This window comes from Homo sapiens, chromosome 19 (assembly GCF_000001405.40).
Source record: "Homo sapiens chromosome 19, GRCh38.p14 Primary Assembly".
NCBI lineage: Eukaryota > Metazoa > Chordata > Mammalia > Primates > Hominidae > Homo > Homo sapiens.
The window spans coordinates 2751699-2770868 of record NC_000019.10 but is presented as its reverse complement, the minus strand read 5'-3'; the positions used below and the strand labels follow the sequence as shown (position 1 = coordinate 2770868).

The 19170-nt window shown below is 58.4% G+C and overlaps 1 protein-coding gene across 2 annotated transcripts in view, besides 1 other annotated feature; it reads left to right on the top strand.

Annotated features, from left to right (window-relative positions):
* Positions 1–16154, top strand: part of SGTA (small glutamine rich tetratricopeptide repeat co-chaperone alpha) — a 28559-nt gene extending 12405 nt beyond the window's left edge. For both annotated transcript variants that reach the window (NM_003021.4, XM_011528178.4), the window contains 11 exons: positions 1778–1900; positions 3183–3289; positions 3649–3733; positions 5584–5683; positions 7112–7216; positions 8225–8363; positions 9347–9409; positions 11575–11612; positions 13087–13176; positions 13412–13532; positions 14936–16154. In NM_003021.4, coding sequence (NP_003012.1) covers positions 1801–1900; positions 3183–3289; positions 3649–3733; positions 5584–5683; positions 7112–7216; positions 8225–8363; positions 9347–9409; positions 11575–11612; positions 13087–13176; positions 13412–13526 — 942 coding nt within the window. In that variant the 5' untranslated portion in view covers positions 1778–1800 and the 3' untranslated portion in view covers positions 13527–13532; positions 14936–16154. The remainder of the gene's footprint in view (positions 1–1777; positions 1901–3182; positions 3290–3648; positions 3734–5583; positions 5684–7111; positions 7217–8224; positions 8364–9346; positions 9410–11574; positions 11613–13086; positions 13177–13411; positions 13533–14935) is intronic.
* Positions 1604–2104: an enhancer, noted in NCBI's record as "H3K4me1 hESC enhancer chr19:2768763-2769263 (GRCh37/hg19 assembly coordinates)". NCBI's record gives its function as "activates a minimal SCP1, AML or CMV promoter by ChIP-STARR-seq in naive H9 embryonic stem cells {active_cell/tissue: H9 hESC(naive)}" and the evidence as "EXISTENCE:reporter gene assay evidence [ECO:0000049][PMID:30033119]".
* Positions 16155–19170: the final 3016 nt, after the last annotated feature.

Genomic DNA, 19170 nt, shown 5'->3' with positions numbered 1-19170 from the left:
GGTGCAGGCTGGGCCACGTTCCCTCTGAAGGCCCCAAGGGAGGCTCCGTCCTGCCTCTTCCAGCTGCTGGGGGCCAGCGAGCCTCACCTCTCTTCGTGTGGCCACATGGCCTCAGCCTCTGCCTCCGTCTTCACGCGGCCGTCTCCGTGCGGCCATGTTCAATCCCTGCATTAGGGCCACCACAGCGACCTCATCTCCACTTGTTTCCATCTGCAAAGACACAGACAAGGTCCCGTGCTCAGGTCCCAGGTGGACGTGACTAGCCCAGAACTTGGCTGCTCCAGCGGCGGGGGCGGGGGCGGCTGCTTCTCCACGCAGCTTGTTACATCTGAATGTTTAGAGTCACCATCGCCAGCCTTCGGGGGAAATGGAGGCACAGTGAGGCCAAGCCTTCCTGAGCTGGCGCCTCAAGGCAGCCGGCCAGCCTGCCCCGGGGGAAGCTCACGTCGGGGCTTCCTGCTCAGAGCCGTGAAGGTCACTGTGGCCGAGGCCCCTCCAAGTTGGCCCAGGCACCCAGGAAACCTGTGTGAAAGGTCTTGTACTAAAAAAAGACCTGTCCATAGACTACAGCTCCAGATTCCAGAACAGCCTCTCCTGATGTCACCATCTGGCACCCTTTAGAGCTTTGGCAGGAAACTGCAGGGACCACAGACATGAGCAGAAGCAGCTGTCAAGTCCTGGGAATGAGGAACAAGACAGGGTATCCGAGGGGGGACCAGGCGGATGTCCGAGGGGGAACCAGGAGGGTTTCTGAGAGGGAACCAGGAGGGTGTCCGAGGGGGCATCCAGGAGGGTATCCGGGGGGGAACCAGGCGGGTGTCCGAGGGGGGCACAGGCGGGTGTCCGAGGGGGGCACAGGCGGGTGTCCGAGGGGGGAACCAGGCGGGTGTCCGAGGGGGGAACTAGGCGGGTGTCCGAGGGGGGAACCAGGCGGGTGTCCGGTGGGGGAACCAGGCTGGTGTCCGCTGGGGGAACCAGGAGGGTGTCCGGTGGGGGAACCAGGCTGGTGTCCGCTGGGGGAACCAGGAGGGTGTCCGCTGGGGGAACCAGGAGGGTGTCAGGTGGGGGAACCAGGCGGGTGTCCGAGGGGGGCACAGGAGGGTGTCCGAGGGGGAACTAGAGGGGGGTCTGAGGTGGAATGAGGTAGGTAGGCCTCCCAGGGGGAACAAGACGGGTCCCCAAGAAGTCCCTGGGGGGAGTCCTCTGCAAGTCCTGTGAAACAGTGATACCAGGGCAGGCACACCTGGCCCCGTTGGGTACCTAAGAAATGCTTGCTGACATGCCACAAAAGAGGTAAATTGAGGAAAGGGGCAGTGGCTCTGGCTGAGGACAAGGTCTCTCCCTCTCAGCACTGTGGACATTGGGGCTGGATCGTTCTCTGGAGTGGAGCTGTCCTGGGCACTGCAGGGTGCTGGGCAGCATCCCTGGCCCCCACCCACCTCATGCCAGAAGCAGGGGCGGAGGGGACCTCCGTGGCGCCTCAGTACCACCCTGGGAGTGCTCAGGAGGCCCTGGGAGCACGCGGGTTCTCTAGGGCAGGCCCTGCTTGCCTGCTGGCCTCACACTTTCTGGCTGTGTGCATAGCCGGATTGGTGAGCTCTGGGCCTCAGGTCATCATCTGTGAAATGGGCGTATTAAGGCCTTTCTACCTGGGCTGTCCTGGAGCTGAGATCAGCCAGCACCCTTAAAGTGAGGCCCAGCTAGTTAGGGGCAGGCCTGGGGTGCCTGGAGTGGGGAGTGTGAGGGGGCCTGATGGGGGTTTTTCCTGCACCCCCAGGTATCACCTCTTCTGGGCTCAAGATGGACAACAAGAAGCGCCTGGCCTACGCCATCATCCAGTTCCTGCATGACCAGCTCCGGCACGGGGGCCTCTCGTCCGATGCTCAGGAGAGCTTGGAAGGTAGGTGGGTGCCTGCCACTTCCCCCTCTCCCCGGGCAGCGGCCAGCACAGTCGCCTCGTGTAGACACCTGGTGTGTAGATGCCTGGTCCCCCGCCTGGCTTTTTGGGGGTGGAAGCTAAGCCCAGAGAGGGCAGGGGTCTGCCCAGGGCCACACAGCCCCCGGCCGTGGGAGCCAGGGCCGAGCTGAGCCCTCCCGCCTGCCACTGCGTGGCGCCACCACTGCTTGATGCCTTCAGGCTGAGCTGCCTTCCAGTGGCTTTTTTCCATCTCCCCATCTTCCACCAAGGTGTGTTCTGGAATGTTCTCACCACCCAGTGTGTGTGTGTCACCATCGGTCACGGGGAAAAAGCTCTCCTAGTGCTGGCCCCGCCCCAGAGTCCCAGACTCGTTGGCATCCTGCATGGCCTGTCCGCTCCCCAGGTGCCTTGGTCTCCTGGCTGGTCTTGCTTGCGCTTCTGCGACACCTGGATCCGGGGCTCGGAGGGAAAGGAGGGCTCGGGGAGGCACCCTCGTGTGGCTGCAGGTTCTGCTCTAGGTCCTCCTTCCCCACCTATGCCTCGCTCACCTGTGTCCTGGGCCTGCCAGGCCTCTGTAGCATGGACACCCAGTGACAGCTGTAGGGATGTGCCCGGGGTCCTTGACACAGTGCTGGGCAGGAAGTGGCTGACCCCCACTTCTGACCTGGGTTAGGACCCTGGGTCCACACGAGGAGGCGGCCAGGGCTAGTGTTGTCTGGCTCGGTGGGAGGGCCCCCTGGGTGCTGAGTCTGTCAGGTGGGCCAGCAGAGAGAGGGGCCCTGTGGCTGTTTCTTGTCCTGCTCTCAATGGTCCTGCCCTGGTACAGACCCAGTCATACAGGCCTTCTACTGGGGGCTGGCTTCAAGCTCCTTACTCAGGCCAGGCGCCCTTGGAGGTGCAACAGCATCCGGGGCACCTCACCCCTGACGTGGCCCTCCAGGTGGGGCCAAGCCCCCACCACGCCGCAGCCGGGCAGCCCCAGCATTGGGACCCCACAGAGGCCTGAGGTCACCACCTGGGCTCCACTCTGCCCACGGCCTCTGCTGCTCTCAGGGGCACGGGGCGTCTCTGTCTGGCTTTTCTTTTCGGGAAGGAAGAGGGTCCACTGTCCCAGCCCAGAGCACAGGCGGCGGCCCCTGCGTTCTGGGGTCCTTGGGAATGAACACACCTGGGGAAGCATGAGCACCAACCCCGCCCTCTAGACCCAAAAACGTAACCTCGGGGCTGCGTGCAATGAATGGGACCGCCTCTGTCCCCGCTTCAGTCGCCATCCAGTGCCTGGAGACTGCGTTTGGGGTGACGGTAGAAGACAGTGACCTTGCGCTCCCTCAGACTCTGCCGGAGATATTTGAAGCGGCTGCCACGGGCAAGGTGAGCCTCGATGCTTCCCCAGCCACTGCCCCCAAAATAAGAACAGCAACAGCAGGCAGCCCTGGGGACCCCAGGAGCCCCGCTCTCATCGTCCCCCAGCACTCTGCCTGCATCCTCTCCTGGGCTGGGGACGTGGCTGCAGGAGCACTTGGCCCTCCTCCCCCTATCGGCGGGTCCTGAGACACATAGCGCTGTGGTCACTCGCCCAGGGCCACATGATGGGGGGCCAGGAGTCCCCTGCAGAGCCCCCGGGTCCTTCGGAACTTGGTGGCCCTCTCTGGCGTCCCGAGGGAAGCTAAGGCCGGAGGGTGCCAGGTTGGGAGGAGAGGACAGCGGGCCGCCTTTGCCTCCGGGTCCAGGAGATGCCGCAGGACCTGAGGAGCCCCGCGCGAACCCCGCCTTCCGAGGAGGACTCAGCAGAGGCAGAGCGCCTCAAAACCGAAGGTAAGGGAGGACCTCCATCCCCACAGACACCTCGCCCTACCTGGACTCCGGGGCTGTGGGACCCTCGCAGAGGCCAGCTGGTCCCTGGGGCCCAGGGAGCTGAGGGAATTGCCCTGATGACCAGCACGCTGGCTTGTGGGGACGGGGACGGAAGGGGGACTGGCGAGGGGACTGGCGAGGTGCAGAGAAACTTGACCTTCAGGCACAGCACGGCTGGTGGGGTTGTCGGGAGCGGCCCCTGTGGAAGACTGGCTGGTGGCCCCCAAAAGTTGCACAGCTTCCATGAGACCCGCCGGTTCCACCCTGATACTAGATATGTGCCCAAGAGAGACACATGTCCACCAAAACCCAGACACATGTTCACAGCAGCTGTATTCACAAGAGTCAAAAAGCAAGAAGAGGCCGGGCGCGGTGGCTCACACCTGCAGTCCCAGCTCTTTGGGAGGCCGAGGCGGGCAGATTGCCTGAGGTCAGGAGTTCAAGCCTAGCCTGGGCCAACATGGTGAAACCCCGTCTCTACTAAAAATGCAAAAAAATTAGCCAGGTGCAGTGGTGGGCACCTGTAATCCCAACTACTCAGGAGGCTGAGGCAGGAGAGTTGCTTGAACCTGGGAGGCGGAGGTTGCAGTGAGTCCAGATCGCGCCACTGCACTCCAGCCTGGGCGATAAGAGTGAAACTCCGTCTCAAAAAAAAATAAAAAATAAAAAATAAAACAATAAAAAGAAGCAAAAACAGCTTAAATGCCTGTCCACGCTAAATGGTCAGCACAGCATGGCCCATCTACACGGTGGAATGTGGATGGGTGAGGCTCTGACCCAGGCCCCAGCGCAGATGCACCGTGAAGACATCACACTCAGGGAGAGAGGCCAGACACAAAAGGACGCACAGCATGTGATCCCATTTCTTTTTTTTCTTTTTTGAGATGGAGTCTCGCTCTGTCGCCCAGGCTGGAGTGCAGTGGCGTGATCTCGGCTCACTGCAACCTCTGACTCCCTGGTTCAAGCAATTCTCCTGCCTCAGCCTTCTGAGTAGCTGGGACTACAGAAGCCTACCACCACGCCCGGCTAATTTTTGTATTTCTAGTAGAGACAGGTTTCACTGTGTTGGCCAGGATGGTCTTGGTCTCCTGATCTTGCGATCCGCCTGCGTCGGCCTCCCAAAGTGCTGGGATTATAAGCATGAGCCACCGCGCCCGGGCTTATATTTTTAAAGCGTAAGCTTTGTGGCATGTAAATTATATCTCAATAAAACTGTTTAGGGAAACACACGCTGATACCCATCTTCCCCCCACGCCCTCCTGAATTGGGATCTCGGGGGCGGGAGTGGGTTTCTGTCTTCAGGGCTCTCAGTTCTAGGATAGCAGCTGGGGTTTTTACCGTCCTACCAGCTGGGACCCATGCCTCAGATAGAAGCCCCATTGCCTATGAAATGAGAAGGTATCACATGAGTATTCCAAAATACAGGCCTCCACTTGGGCTCTTTCCAAAAGCAATAGCGAAAGGGACAGTTTCCGTCCCCGGGCCGGTGAGCTGTATTAACTGTTCTGCTCCCGGGGTCGCCATCCAGGCAGTGACAGCCACCGTCGCCAGGCACAGGCCAGGCCAGGCCCTGCCGCCCCCACCTCCATCCCCCTTAGTGGATGTAGATATGATTGTTTGCGACTAGCGAACCCCCTATAGATGCAGATGCCTCCTGAGCCGGCATCTGTGTTGAGTCCTGGCTGCCCAGAAGAGCCAAGTGTGACGCCCCCTCGGGTCTGTGTGGACACCAGGCCGGTGTTTTCCTCTCTCCCTGACACCCCCTCCGGTCTGTGTGGACACCGGGCCGGTGTTTTCCTCTCTCCCTGTAGGAAACGAGCAGATGAAAGTGGAAAACTTTGAAGCTGCCGTGCATTTCTACGGAAAAGCCATCGAGCTCAACCCAGCCAACGCCGTCTATTTCTGCAACAGGTACCAGCTCAGGGCCTGCCCAGGGCAGGGGCGGCCGGGTGCGGGGGCGTCCTCCGGGATGCTTAGCAGGGACCTGAGATGGGAGAGGCCTCTGCGCTGTAGATGAGGGATCCATTCACCGGTGGTCTCAGACCAGGAGCGAGCATCAGGTGACCAGCAACGGGGTCGGGGAGAGTCGATGCTGATTTAAAATCAGGTAGCACGCCCAGCACTCTGGGAGGCCATGGGGGAAAGATCACTTGAGGCTAGGAGTTCGGGACTAGCCTGGGCAACATATCAAGACCCCCGTCTCTACAGAAAATGTAAAAATTAGTCTGGGGGCCAGGCGCGGTGGCTCACGTCTGTAATTCCAGCACTTTGGGAGGCTGAGGCGGGGGGGATCACTTGAGGTTGAGAGTTCAAGACCAGCCTGGCTAACATGGTGAAACCCCGTCTTTACTAAAAATACAAAATTAGCCGGGTGTAGTGGTGGGCACCACCAGTTACTCAAGAGGCTGAGGTATGAGGATGGTTTGAACCTGGGAGGCAGAGGTTGCAGTGAGCCAAGATTGCGCCACTGCCCTCCATCTTGGGTGACAGGGAGACTCTGTCTCAAAAAAACCCCGAAAAAAACCACAAAAATTAGCTGGATGTGGTGGTGGGTGCCTGTAGTCCCAGCTACCTGGGAGGCTGAGGCAGGAAAATCACTTGAACCCGGGAGGCAGAGGTTGCAGTGAGCTGAGATCGTGTCACTGCACTCCAGCCTGGGCAGCAGAGCAAAACCCTGTTTCAAAAATAATAAATACATAAATACATACATAGAAAATCAGGTATCATGGCATTCCACGTGGATGTCAAGCCAAGAAAATAATCCAGTATGTGGAGGGTTGTGTTTTTTGAATGTGTGGTCTTGGATCTGCTTCAGGCTTACAGGACAGTTGCAGAGGCAGTGCAGGGTTCCTGGCCGCCTGTCATGGGGTAGTTTAGTCTCCACTCACTCTTCTCTGTACTTTGAAAAAATTGTAAAGAGAAACACTAAACACGAAAATGGTGAAGACGATTCAGACGCTGTAAGCCAAGAGCTTTGAGCTTTGACATTGGTCTGAGTTCTTTTTTTACTGATATGTAAATAATTTGTGAATGAAACTTGGGTATAAGTTCCCTACCCTCATTGCTCTTGTACAGCCATGGATCGGAACATTTTTTGCAAATAAAATTCAGAGTCGCAGTCCTGAGTGGCTGCTGGTGCTTTGAGCCCACATTTGTCTAAGAGCATCTCAGTGGCCACACCTCTCAGCTTTCCCCATCAGCCCCATTTTACAGATGGGGAAAACTGAGGCCGTTCCTCCAGGAAGTTGGAGAGGAACGCAGCTCTCAGGCTCCCCTCAAGGGCTGCCCGCTGGGCTCAGAGCCGCCAGTGAGGGACCTGCCCTGCCTTTTCTTCCCCAGAGCCGCAGCCTACAGCAAACTCGGCAACTACGCAGGCGCGGTGCAGGACTGTGAGCGGGCCATCTGCATTGACCCGGCCTACAGCAAGGCCTACGGCAGGATGGGGTGAGTGCCTGTCCACGGCCGCGCCTTTCCAGTCTCTCGGGACCCCTCCTCTCCTGCTCCTGCTTCCTCTCTTGTGTGGCTTTTTTCCCACCCACAACGAATTCTCCCACCCCGGTTCAGTTCAACTCTGACACTAGCTGTTCGGAGCCAACGTAGTCCCTACAGGTCACAGGCTCAGCCCCACAGACGCCCCGCATCAGGTGCCACCCGGAGATCCCTGGGCCCCTTGCTTCTCCCTGACTGGCTGTCACCTGGGGTTCCCATGGCTCCTACTCAGGCTCCATTGTTTGCTGGGGCGGCTCACAGAGCTCAGGGAAGCACCTGGTTTATGATGAAGGACACAGGACAGGTCCGAGAGTGAGGCCAGGAGGGTCCCCGGGGCAGGAGCCTGCGCCCCGTGCAGCCGGTGCCGCCCTCCCAGCATAAGCGTGCATTCGCCTGCTTCTCTGAATGCCCTTGCTCAGAGTTTGTGGGATTGGGTCTCCCCAGAGGCTGGGGAGGGGCCCTGTTCAACTGCCCAGTCTCCCCAGGACCCGCCTCCTCCTGGGCTCTGTAGGGGCCCTGAGTCACCTCACGAGTGAAGACTCACTCAGGTGGGGGTCAGGGGCTGCTTGTGGATGACGGGAGACATGTCTGTCGCTCAGAGGTTCCGAGGGTCCTTGGTGCCCTGTGCCGGGAAGCGGGGCCAAGACAACATCCACGCATTTCCTGTGACCCTGAGCTGGCCCGCTCCCTCCTCTCAGCCCGCTCTGGGCTTTGAGGCCCTGTGTGTGGCCCCATGGGGACTCCAGTTCTTGTGTGGCAGGGGTGTTCTCATGTCTGTCTCCCTCAGTCCTGCCCCTGGGCCCCTCGAAAGCCAGGTTTGTCTCCACTGAGCTGACAGCGGGCAGGGGGTGGCACCATCCGAGGTGGTTTGGGGGTTGCCAGGACCGCCGGGGACGAGGGCTTTGGCGGGGCCTCCTGGAGCTGGGCAGATGGGAACAGTCCATCCCCGGTGCTCTCCTCCAGCCTGGCGCTCTCCAGCCTCAACAAGCACGTGGAGGCCGTGGCTTACTACAAGAAGGCTCTGGAGCTGGACCCCGACAACGAGACATACAAGTCCAACCTCAAGATAGCGGAGCTGAAGCTGCGGGAGGCCCCCAGCCCCGTGAGTGCAGCGGGGGCGAGTGGCTCCAGAACGCCGAGCTGACTGTGTGGGTGGGGGACAGGTCCTCGGGCGCACCAGTGGCTCTAGGCTTAACCTGGGTGTCGTGAGGGTCCGGGGTTTGTTTCAGTTGGTGGTGAGATGCACAGGCGTGGAAGTGAGTGTCGTGAGAAGGTTCATGCCCCCAGACCCCTGGAAGCAGGAGGCCGGCCGCAGGGCTGCCCGCGGAGGCTGAGGGAGGGGCACAGAAAGGACCCTCGATGTGGGTTTTGTGGCGAGGCCGGGTGAGGAGGCTTCGGGTTGGCTGGTTGGAGCCATTTCATTAGACCCAGGCCTGGGGGCTGCCCCTGGTTGCCTGGTCCCTGGCCTGGGGGTGAGTGGGGCAGGTGGACTGTGGCCCTGGGGTGATGGGGGAGGTGCTGAGGGTGTGGGTTCTGGGTTAGTTTGTTTGTATTTCAAAGGTGCGTTTCTGGGTGAGTCATTTGCTTTCTCTGGGAATTGGCTACTCCAGGAGGGGGCGGCTCTGCCAGGCCAGCAAGGCCCCAAGGTGTCAAAGCGGCAGAATACAGGAAATCAACACGGGATGATAGACTGTGCCGTCCCCGGGCGGTCGCGCTGTACGGGGAATAAACACGGGATGATAGACTGTGCCGTCCCCGGGCGGTCGCGCTGTGCGGGGAATAAACACGGGATGATAGACTGTGCCGTCCCCGGGCGGTCGCGCTGTGCGGGGAATAAACACGGGATGATAGACTGTGCCGTCCCCGGGCGGTCGCGCTGTGCGGGGAATAAACACGGGATGACAGACTGTGCCGTCCCCGGGCGGTTGCGATGTGCTTCGTGCTGCCTGCCTCAAAGCACCCTCTGGCCGCAGGGTTGATAGAATGTCTGAGCCCCGTGGGGGGCCGTTGTTTCTGAGTTCCAGGGGGTTATTCACCGTGGCCTCTGGTCCAGGCCCCACTAACCAGGGCTGTTCTCATCCTCAGACGGGAGGCGTGGGCAGCTTCGACATCGCCGGCCTGCTGAACAACCCTGGCTTCATGAGCATGGTAACGGCCCGCCCCTCCTCCCTGTCCATGGTGTCTGCGCCACCCCCCAGGCCCGCATCTGCTGTGTCCGCTACTGGCCAGGGCTTCCTTGCCTTGGCACTGCTGGCTTCTGGAACCAGATGGGTCTTGTCTGTGGGGTCGTCCTGGGCACCGCAGGGCGCTGGCAGCACCCCTGGCCTCACCCGCCCCATGTCAGGAGCACCCCCACCCTCTGCTTCGACAATCAAAAGTGTCCCCAATGTTGATGTCCCAAGCAAGACCCATCAGTAGTGAGCACCAAAAGCTGGCTCTCCTGGCTGAGCCCAGGGAGGTCACACCCCCACCCCACCCTGGCGTGGGCTCCTCCTCGCAGTGCAGAGACACTGATCACAACACAGCAGCGTCTGCCTCCTAAGGTTCAGGCAAGGGAAGCAGAGCGCCGGGTGCGCCGGGCGCAGGTGGACCTCCCGATGCCCGGGCACTCATGCTTCCAAAGGGACGGCCTTTGGCAGGGAGTTCCTTGACTGGGATCCTCGGAGAGCCATCCCCCACACACACATGTTCATTTCCTGGGAGGTCTGTGTGCCCTGGGACCACTCTTCAGGCTCCCACAGCCTCAGGGTACAGGGACTCGCCTAAGGCTGTCGGGGAGAAAAGCCCTCAGTCTCACTGTCAGTCAGAAAAATGAGCCAGCTGGGCCAGGAGCCCTGCCCGGGTCGTGCCATTCAGCAGAGGCCACACCTCTTACTGTAGCCCTCGTCCGCTGGCCAAGCTGCCAGGGGAATATGTTCTCCCTCACCATGGGATGGAGGGTGACTGGGCCCCAGTCTTTCAAGGGGCCTCTCAGCTTGGCCATGTCACAGACGCCTTTTCCCTTCAGACATCTGGGGTTGGCAGAATAAGGCCCGCCGCTGGGTTTTGTTAATAAAGTTTTTTTTGGTTTTTTTTTTTTTTTTTTTTTTTGAGATGGAGTCTCGCTCTGTCGCCCAGGTTGGAGTGCAGTGGTGTGATCTCAGCTCACTGCAACCTCCGCCTCCCAGGTTCAAGCGATTCTCCTGCGTCAGCCTCCCGAGTAGCTGGGATTACAGGTGCCCACCACCATGCCTGGCTAATTTTGGTATTTTTTAATAGAAATGGGGTTTCACCATGTTTGCCAGGCTGGTCTCGAACTCCTGACCTTGTGATCCACCCGCCTCGGCCCCCCAAAGTGCTGGGATTACAGGTGTGAGCCACTACACCTGACCAATAAAGTTTTATTGGCACACAGCCATGCCCATTCATACACCTAGTGTCACTGGTGGCTTTCATGATACGGCGGCAGAGCTGAGTAGTTGCGTCAGGCACCCGTGTCTGAAAAGGCTGAGAGTATTTACACACTGGCCCTTTACACAGAGAGTTTGCCACACCTCTGAGCCACCTCCTTTCAACAGGTCCAAAGGAATAATCCCAAGTGGAAAGTTAACATGAGAAAGTGCCCAGTATAGTGCTATTTATTTATTTATTTATTTTTACTTCTTTTTTGAGACAGAGTCTCACTCTGTCACCCAGGCTGGAGTGCAGCGGTGTGATCTCGGCTCACTGCAACCTCCCCCTCCCAGGTTCAGGCGATTCTTGTGCCTCAGTTTCCCAAGTAGCTGGGACTACAGGCATGCACCACCACACCTGGCTAATTTCATATTTTTAGTAGAGACGGGGTTTCACCATGTTGGTTAGGCTGGTCTCGAACTCCTGACCTCAAGCGATCTGCCTGCCTCGGCCTCCTAAAGTGCTGGGATTCCAGGCGTGAACCACCGCGCCCAGCCACAGTGCTATTTATTGATAGAGCAAAACTGGAACCAAATATGCTAAATGAAATATGCTAAAGCAGACAGCAGCTAAAATAAAGAACCAAAACGCCTCCACACAGCAAAACCGCAGCAGCCAGTGAGAGAGCGCTGTGGCGCTGCGAGATCGCTCCTGAAGCAGGAACCCAAAACAGGATTTAAGTCACAATGTGGAGGTCACAGCTCGTGGGTGGGGGGGCGAAAATGTAGGGAAAAGGGTATGAAAGACCGAATGCCCGGCTCTTACTGTTGGTTGGCGTGCTGGAGTCCAGAACCAAGGCTGGTTAAGATGGAAAGTGTCTGATGAAAGAGAATGATGCGCTGGGAGCTTTGTCTTCCTGACAAATTTGTTCTGTTCTTCAGGCTTCGAACCTAATGAACAATCCCCAGATTCAGCAGCTGTAAGTGACAACCGGGTTTCTTCGGGTCTTGTTGTGGTTAAATTTCCTTTTATTGTGGGTAAATTCACTTAACATAAAACTAACCACTTTAAAGTGTGCAACTTAATGGCATTAAGGACTTTCACACTGTCATGCAACTGTCACCACTATCACACTGTCATGCAACTGTCACCACCATCACACTGTCATGCAACTGTCACCACCATTGAGCACCAACCCATCTTCATCACCTCCGAAAGAAGCCCCTTCCCCCTCAGCTGTCACTCCCCAACCCCTCTCCTATCCCCTGACAACCACGCATCCCCTTCCTGTCTCTGTGGATGGGCCTGTCCTGGACATTTCGTAGAAATGGGATCACACACTGCGTGAACTTTGGTGTCTGGCGTCTCTCACTGAGCGTGACGTCCTCAAGGTGCATGTGTGCTGGGGCCTGGGTCAGGGCCTCGCTCCTTTTCATGGCTGAGTAATATTCCAGTGTGGAGGGACCACGCTGTGCTGATCCACACATCTATCCATGGACATTTGGGCTGTTTCTACCTTTTGTCTGTTGTGAACGGTGCTGCTTGAGCACGGGTGTGCAATCGTCTGTGTGAATCCTGTTTTCGTTTCTCTTGGATATAAACTTCTGAGTGCACTCGCTGGCTCATAGGGTCACTCCCCAGTAAGCGCTGTGCGCACTGGGGAGCTGCTCACCTGTTTTCATGGTGAAATCTTTTTTTCTTTCTCCTTTTTTTTTTTTTGAGACAGAATCTTGCTCTGTCACCCAGGCTGGAGTGCAGTGGCAGAATCTTGGCTCACTGCAACCTCTGCCTCCCGGGATCAAGTGGGTCTTCCCAAGTAGCTGGAATTACAGGCATCCACCACCATGCCCGGCTGATTTTTGCATTTTTAGTAGAGATGGGGTTTCACCATGTTGGCCAGGCTGGTCTTGAACTCCTGACCTCAGGTGATCCACCCGCCTCAGCCTCCCAAAGTGCAGGGATGACAGGTGTGAGCCACCGCGGCTGGCCCACGGTCAAATCTTAAAGCATGGTTTCCCAGCCACAGCACCGTGGCCATTTGAGCTGGACCAGTTTCTGGAGCAGGGCCGTCCTGGGCACTGCAGGGTGCTGAGCACTGTCTCTAGCCTCCATCCACTCCATGCCAGGAGCACCCCCTGCCCCTGTCTTGGCGTAACCCAATCATGGCTGTTGCAAATGTCCGCTGCCATTGCAGGGGTCCTCTGGGGGCAGGATCACCCCCTGGCTGAGAACTACGCTCTTTAGGCCAAAGAAAGAGGGGTGTTCTGGGAAAGCAGGTGAAAGTCACAGGGTGGGTTTGGGCCCTGGAGGCCCACCAGGTGGTGAGAGAGAATCCTCTCCTGCAGGGGAAGGTGAAGGGCTGAGAGGGATTCTCTCCCGGGCCACTGCGAGGGCCTGCAGTGGGGGTGGCGGTCAGGCTGTCCCGGCTGCGAGTCACGCGCTCTCTCCTGCAGCATGTCCGGCATGATTTCGGGTGGCAACAACCCCTTGGGAACTCCCGGCACCAGCCCCTCGCAGAACGACCTGGCCAGCCTCATCCAGGCGTGAGTGGAACTGCTTCCAAGAGGACGGAGGACGTGGGCGGCGGGCAGGGCTCGCAGGCGGAAGGGAAGGAGGAGAGCGAAAGTGCTGCGTCCCCTGCTCCGAAGGGCCCAGCGTCCTCCAGCGAGGGGTCAGGCCTGTCTTTGGGGTGGAGGGCCCGAGGGGTCAGCTGGGGATGGACGGAGGCAGCAGGCAGCCTCCTGGCCCTGGCTGAGCCCCATGTGCCCTTCCCCGCAGGGGCCAGCAGTTTGCCCAGCAGATGCAGCAGCAGAACCCAGAGTTGATAGAGCAGCTCAGGAGCCAGATCCGGAGTCGGACGCCCAGCGCCAGCAACGACGACCAGCAGGAGTGACGCTGCGTGAGTGCATGGGGCCGGGGGCTGGGGGGTGGCCAGCAGGAGTGACACCACGTGAGTGCCTGGCAGTGAGGGCAGCCAGCAGGAGTGACGCCCGGGGGCTGTGGAGCCTGTCTGGACACTGGACAGCGAGTCCTGGGTGCATCCAGCTCAGAAGATCACCCTGAACCGCCCAGGCAGGTGGGGGCATCTCTGGGCATTGGGCCCCTTTCCAGGTGGCCACCAAGTCCTGCTCCCCACTCCTTTCCCATCTGTGGATCGGCGCTGGGTGGAGATTAGGGGAGAGCCACAGCTCCCTGGAAGGGCTGGTGTCTGGGGTCCCCCCTGCCTAAGGCCGCCTGCAGAAGCTCTTTGTTTCTGCAGTGTCGGGGCTGCCACCTCGGGGGTGGGGGCGAGGTCATCGAGTGGTGGAAAGGACAAGCCGGGTACCTGCCTTTGACTGCGCCCGAGCGTTCTGCCTGCATTTTGTGAGGGATTTTTTGTCCTTTTCTCACTGTGAGCAGGTGTTGCACTTACAGTTGTTTAAAAATACACTCAGTGTCCCCCATGGGTTCCAGGGGCCCGTGGCTGGCTTGGTTTCCTTCCCCAGGGGCCCCTGAGTTCAGTCCTGTCCGTCTCCAGCAGACACCGGCTTCCCAGGGGTGGGAGGCTCCCCTGAGTTCAGTCCTGTCTGTCTCCAGCAGACGCCGGCTCCCTGGGGGCGGGAGGCTCCGGGCCTCCCCAGAGGTGTTTCCATTCTGCTCCCATGTGGCCTCTTCATTTTGTCGTTGTCCCCTCCTCATATACACTCTCTTTCATTTTTAAACCATAATTACTGTAGACAAATTTAAAATACAAAAATGTTAAAAAGCAGCAAGAACAATCTTAATCTTTTTTTTTTTTTTTTGAGACCGTCCTGCTCTGTCCCCCCGGCTGGAGGGCAGTGGTGCAGTCACGTCTCACTGCAGCCTCAACCTCCTGGGCTCAAGCGATCCTCCCGCCTCGGCCTCCCAAAGTGTGAGCCGTGCATTCAGCCCAACCTTAATCTTCTCACCCAGAGCCACCAACATTAATATTTTGGCCGCCTTTTCTTCCAGTCTTCCCTTTTTTTTTTAAATAAGCTTTTATTTATTTTTCCTTTTCTTTTTTTAATAGTTGAGGTGGATTTTTTACCACCGTAACCTCATACACAAAGTACCACCATACTGTAGACCCTTCTAGGTCATGGCGATGTTCTCTGCGCCACCAGCCACACGTGGCCCCGAGTGTGTGGAACGCTTCTGGTGCAGCTGTGGCTCTGACGTTCGTTGAAATAGCCGCTGTGGCCCCTGGCTGTCCACTCTGGGCCTCTCCTGCTGCCTGGAGTGTGTGGTGCAGCCTTGGTCCCCACCTGCGCTCTGACAGCCTTCATGTCTGTCCCCTTCCAGCTGCTCCCGGTGTGACCGCGTCCTTCCCTGGCCGACCCGAAGGAAGCCTTCTGGTTGTCTGCCACTTCCTCCTGTTGGACTGCCTGAGAGAGGGGAAGAGAGAGACCTCGGACCTGCATGTCAAGATGGATTTTCCCCTTTTATCTCTGCCCTCCTCCACTCCCTTTTTGTAACTCCCTTACAGCCCCCAGACCCTTCTTGAAACGAGAGCCAGCAAGCTGAGCACAGACCAGCAGCGACCTCCCTTCCAGCCCCCAGAAAGCTCGGTCACTTGAGTGTTTTCTAGAATCCTGGGGTGCTCCCGGGCCGCTCTCAGAGAAGTGGCAGGTTTCACGTTCAGCCGTGTGGCGGATCGTGTGGCTTCCAAAGCCTTTTACAGCCCCCGCCCCCCATCCCGTGGTCTGTCTGCAGGAACTCTCCCGTCTGTGAGAAGCCTCTTTCCGAGTCGACCTCCCGGCCACCCCGGCCCTGTGCCTGCTCGGAAGAGCTCACTGCCAGCTGCGGCCTGGGCACCGCGGGCCATGTGTGTTTGCATGAGGAACTCTTTAGTGGCAGACACCTAAGAGACGGCTGCGGTCACCCCACGCCTCCGCGGCTCAGGAGCCGTCCTGGGTGCATAGGACCAGTTTCTGTGACTTTTCTCCAGTTGGGCATGTTGACAGACATGTTTCCCCTCCTCCCACCCTCATTTTCTGGTCCTCGCGACTGAGAGCCAGGGGCGACATCATGACCTTCTGTCCCGGCCGCCTTAGCCCCGGGCACAGGGAAGGCAGCTGGGCCGTTTCTGTCTGTGTCCCATCCTGCTGTCCTTCTGTCCTGGATGTTTCATGGGCCCGGGGCCCCCCAGGGAAGCTTACCCCTCCTGTGCTGGGTGGAGGCCACGGGACACCTCAGGTGCCACCCACCTTGGCCCTAAAACAGCCACCAGGAAAGCAGCCGGAGAGCCGGACAGCAGGCAGCCTGTCTGGGTTCCTGAGGCCTGGGGGTGGCAGACGAGCCCACGGCGCCGTGGTCCCAGCAGCAGGGTTGTCAGTCGGAGCATCCTGGGGCTCCCTGGCTCCTGGCCGTCTGTGAGGTAGGCGCAGTACCGTGTATCGTAGGTAGCAGTAGGAACGGGGGCCGCCGCGGCCCTGCAGCCGCTCATGGCGGTGAGGTGTGTGCCAAGCCCACCCGGGGTGCAGGGCGTGACGTGTGGGGAATAAATAGGCGTTGTGACCTCTGTCTGTCTTCGTGTTGACCTTGGCGCCACCGATACCCTCCAACCCCAAACCTCGAGAAAACCCCCGACGCGGAGTTTGTGGATCAGCTGGGCTGCTTGTGAGTGAATCCCCGCGACGCCGGAGCCGCACTTCTTGGGTCACGGGTCACGGGTCATGGGAGGTTTCGGACAGTCAGCCTCTACCCTCTGCTGTCTCCCTTCCCTCCGCCTCCGTCCCCAGCTGCATCCCGGTGTAGAGGGTCACCCCAGGGTGGGGTGAGATGCCTCGGTCCTCAGCAGAGAGTGATCGTATTGTCTGTTGCTTTGCTTTGCTTTTTTTTTTTTTTTGAGACTTTCACCCTAGATGCCCAGGCTGGAGTGCAATGGCGCAATCTCGGCTCACCTCAACCTCCACCTCCCGGGTTCAAGTGATTCTCCTGCGTCAGCCTTCCAAGTAGCTGGGATTACAGGCATGCACCACCACGCCCAGCTAATTTTTTGTATTTGTAGTAGAGACGAGGTTTCTCCATGTTGGTCAGGCTGGTCTCAAACTCCCAACCTCAGGTGATTTGCCTCAGCCTTCCAAAGTGCAGGGATTACAGGCGTGAGCCACCGCACCTGGCTTTGTCTGTTGCTTTTCTAGCATACTGTAACTCCATAAATTCTGTATTCTGTAACCAAAGGCACCTCCCTTTCACAACGGCTCCAGTTGAGAGAATGGGTCAGTGAGGGAGTCCCAGGCAAGAAGGAGCCCAGAAAGCTTCCAGGCCCATCTCAGCCCCAACCCTAGGGTGCTGCACAGAGTTTTGTTGTGAACATAGAAGCTGCTCCCTTGGCCAGGTGTGGTGGCTCAAGCCTGTCATCCCAGGACTTTGGGAGGCTGAGGCGGGTGGATCACTTGAGGTCAGGAGTTCAAGACCAGCCTGGCCAACATGATGAAACTCCATCTCTACTACAAATACAAAAAAAGATTGGCGGGCATGGTGGCAGGTGCCTGTAATCCCAGCTACTCAGGAGGCAGAGGCAGGAGAATCGCTGGAACCCAGGAGACGGAGGTTGCTGTGAGCTGAGATAGCACCATTGCCCTCCAGCCTGGGGAACAGAGCGAGACTACGTCTCAAAAACATAAAAATGAAAGAACAACTCCCTGAAAGTCCTCTAAGCTTTCGTGGACTGTGAATTCCTGTTTCCCACAAGCCAAGGTTGGGCACCGGCACCCTCATGCTAGAGACAGAGAAACCGAGGCCTGGCTATCAGGCCCGAGGTCACCCCACCCGTGAGCGTCTGAACCTGGCGGAGCCCTGGCAGGGACTCTGGCTCAGGACCCTGGCTCAAGCACCCACCTTCTCCACCCCTGCAATAGCAGGAAGAACCGAGATCTGCAGGGGCGAAGTTTCAGGTTCAGCCACTACCTCTGTCATCTCCCAAAAATGACACACCAAAAAGTCACAAAATTCAAAGAACAGCCACCCCAGGGTTGCTGGGTCTAGTGCTGAAGGGGCCTGGCTGTGGGAGGCAGGTGGGCGCTTCAGGTCTCAGGCAGAGCTTCTCACCTGGGTGGCTCTTCCCCCGGGGCACACTTAGCTGGGCAGCATCTGGGGACGTGAGTGGTTGTTGCAATGGTGGGGGTGGAGGCCAGGGTTGCTGCTTAGCACACTGCAGGGCCCAGGACGGCCCCCTCCAGAGAATGATCTGGCCCCAGTGTCCACAGAGCCGGGGCGGTAGAAGGGGAACCCTGGATGCATTTTAGACTGTCCTCAGCTCAGCAGCAGCAGCGTGGCCTGGGGGCACAGTAGAAACACCAAGTCTTGGGCCTCACCCCAGGCCTAAATCAGACACTCCAGGCCAGGCGCCCTGGCTCACACCTGCAATCCCAGCACTTTGGGAGGCCAAGGCGGACGGATCACCTGAGGTCAGGAGTTCAAGACTAGCCTGGCCAACATGGTGAAACCCTGTCTCTACTAAAAATACAAAAATTAGCTGGGCGTGGTGGCGCAAGCCTGTAACCTCAGCTACTCGGGAGGCTGAGGCAGGAGAATCGCTTGAACCTGGGAGGCGGAGGATGCAGTGAGACAAGATCGCACCACTGTACTCCAGCCTGGGCAACAAGAGCGAAACTCCGTCTGAAAAACAAAAAATAAGATGGTGAGCCTCCATCTGTACCAAAAAAAAAATTAGCCAGACACGGTGGTGCTCACCTGTAGTCCCAGCTCCTCAGGAGGCTGAGGCAGGAGGATCACTGGAGCCTGGGAGTTTGAGGTTGTAGTGAGCCATGATCACAGCACTGCACTCCAGCCTGGGCAAAAGAGCAAGACCCTGTCTCGAAAAATTAAAAATAAGTCAGGGCCGGGCTTGGTGGCTCATGCCCGAAGCAGGACAGAGATGGACCACTGGGTCTTAAAGTTTGGTGGGTGTCAAGAGTCACCCAGAGAGCTTGATGAACACACAACTGGGGCCCACCCACATGTATCTACATTTTTTTTTTTTTTTTTTTTGGAAACGGAGTCTGGCTTTGTCGCCCAGGCTGGAGTGCAGTGGTGCGATCTCCGCTCACGGCAAGCTCCGCCTCCTGGGTTCATGCCCTTCTCCTGCCTCAGCCTCCCGAGTAGCTGGGACCACAGGCGCCCGCCACCAAGCCCGGCTAATTTTTTGTATTTTTAGTAGAGACGGGGTTTCACCGTGTTAGTGAGGATGGTCTCGATCTCCTGACCTCGTGATCCACCTGCCTCGGCCTCCCAAAGTGCTGGGATTACAGGTGTGAGCCACCGCGCCCGGCCTACATTTTTTTTTTTTCTTTTGAGATAGAGTCTCACTCTGTCGCCCAGGCTGGAGTGCAGTGGTGCCATCTTGACTCACTGCAACCTCTGCCTCCTGGGTTCAAGTGATTCTCCTGCCTCAGCCTCCCCAGTAGCTGGAATTACAGGTGCCCGCCGCCACGCCCAGCTAATTTTTGCATTTTGGGTAGAGATGGGGGTTTCACCATGTTGGCCAGGCGGGTCTTGAACTCTTGACCTCAGGTGATCCACCCGCCTTGGCC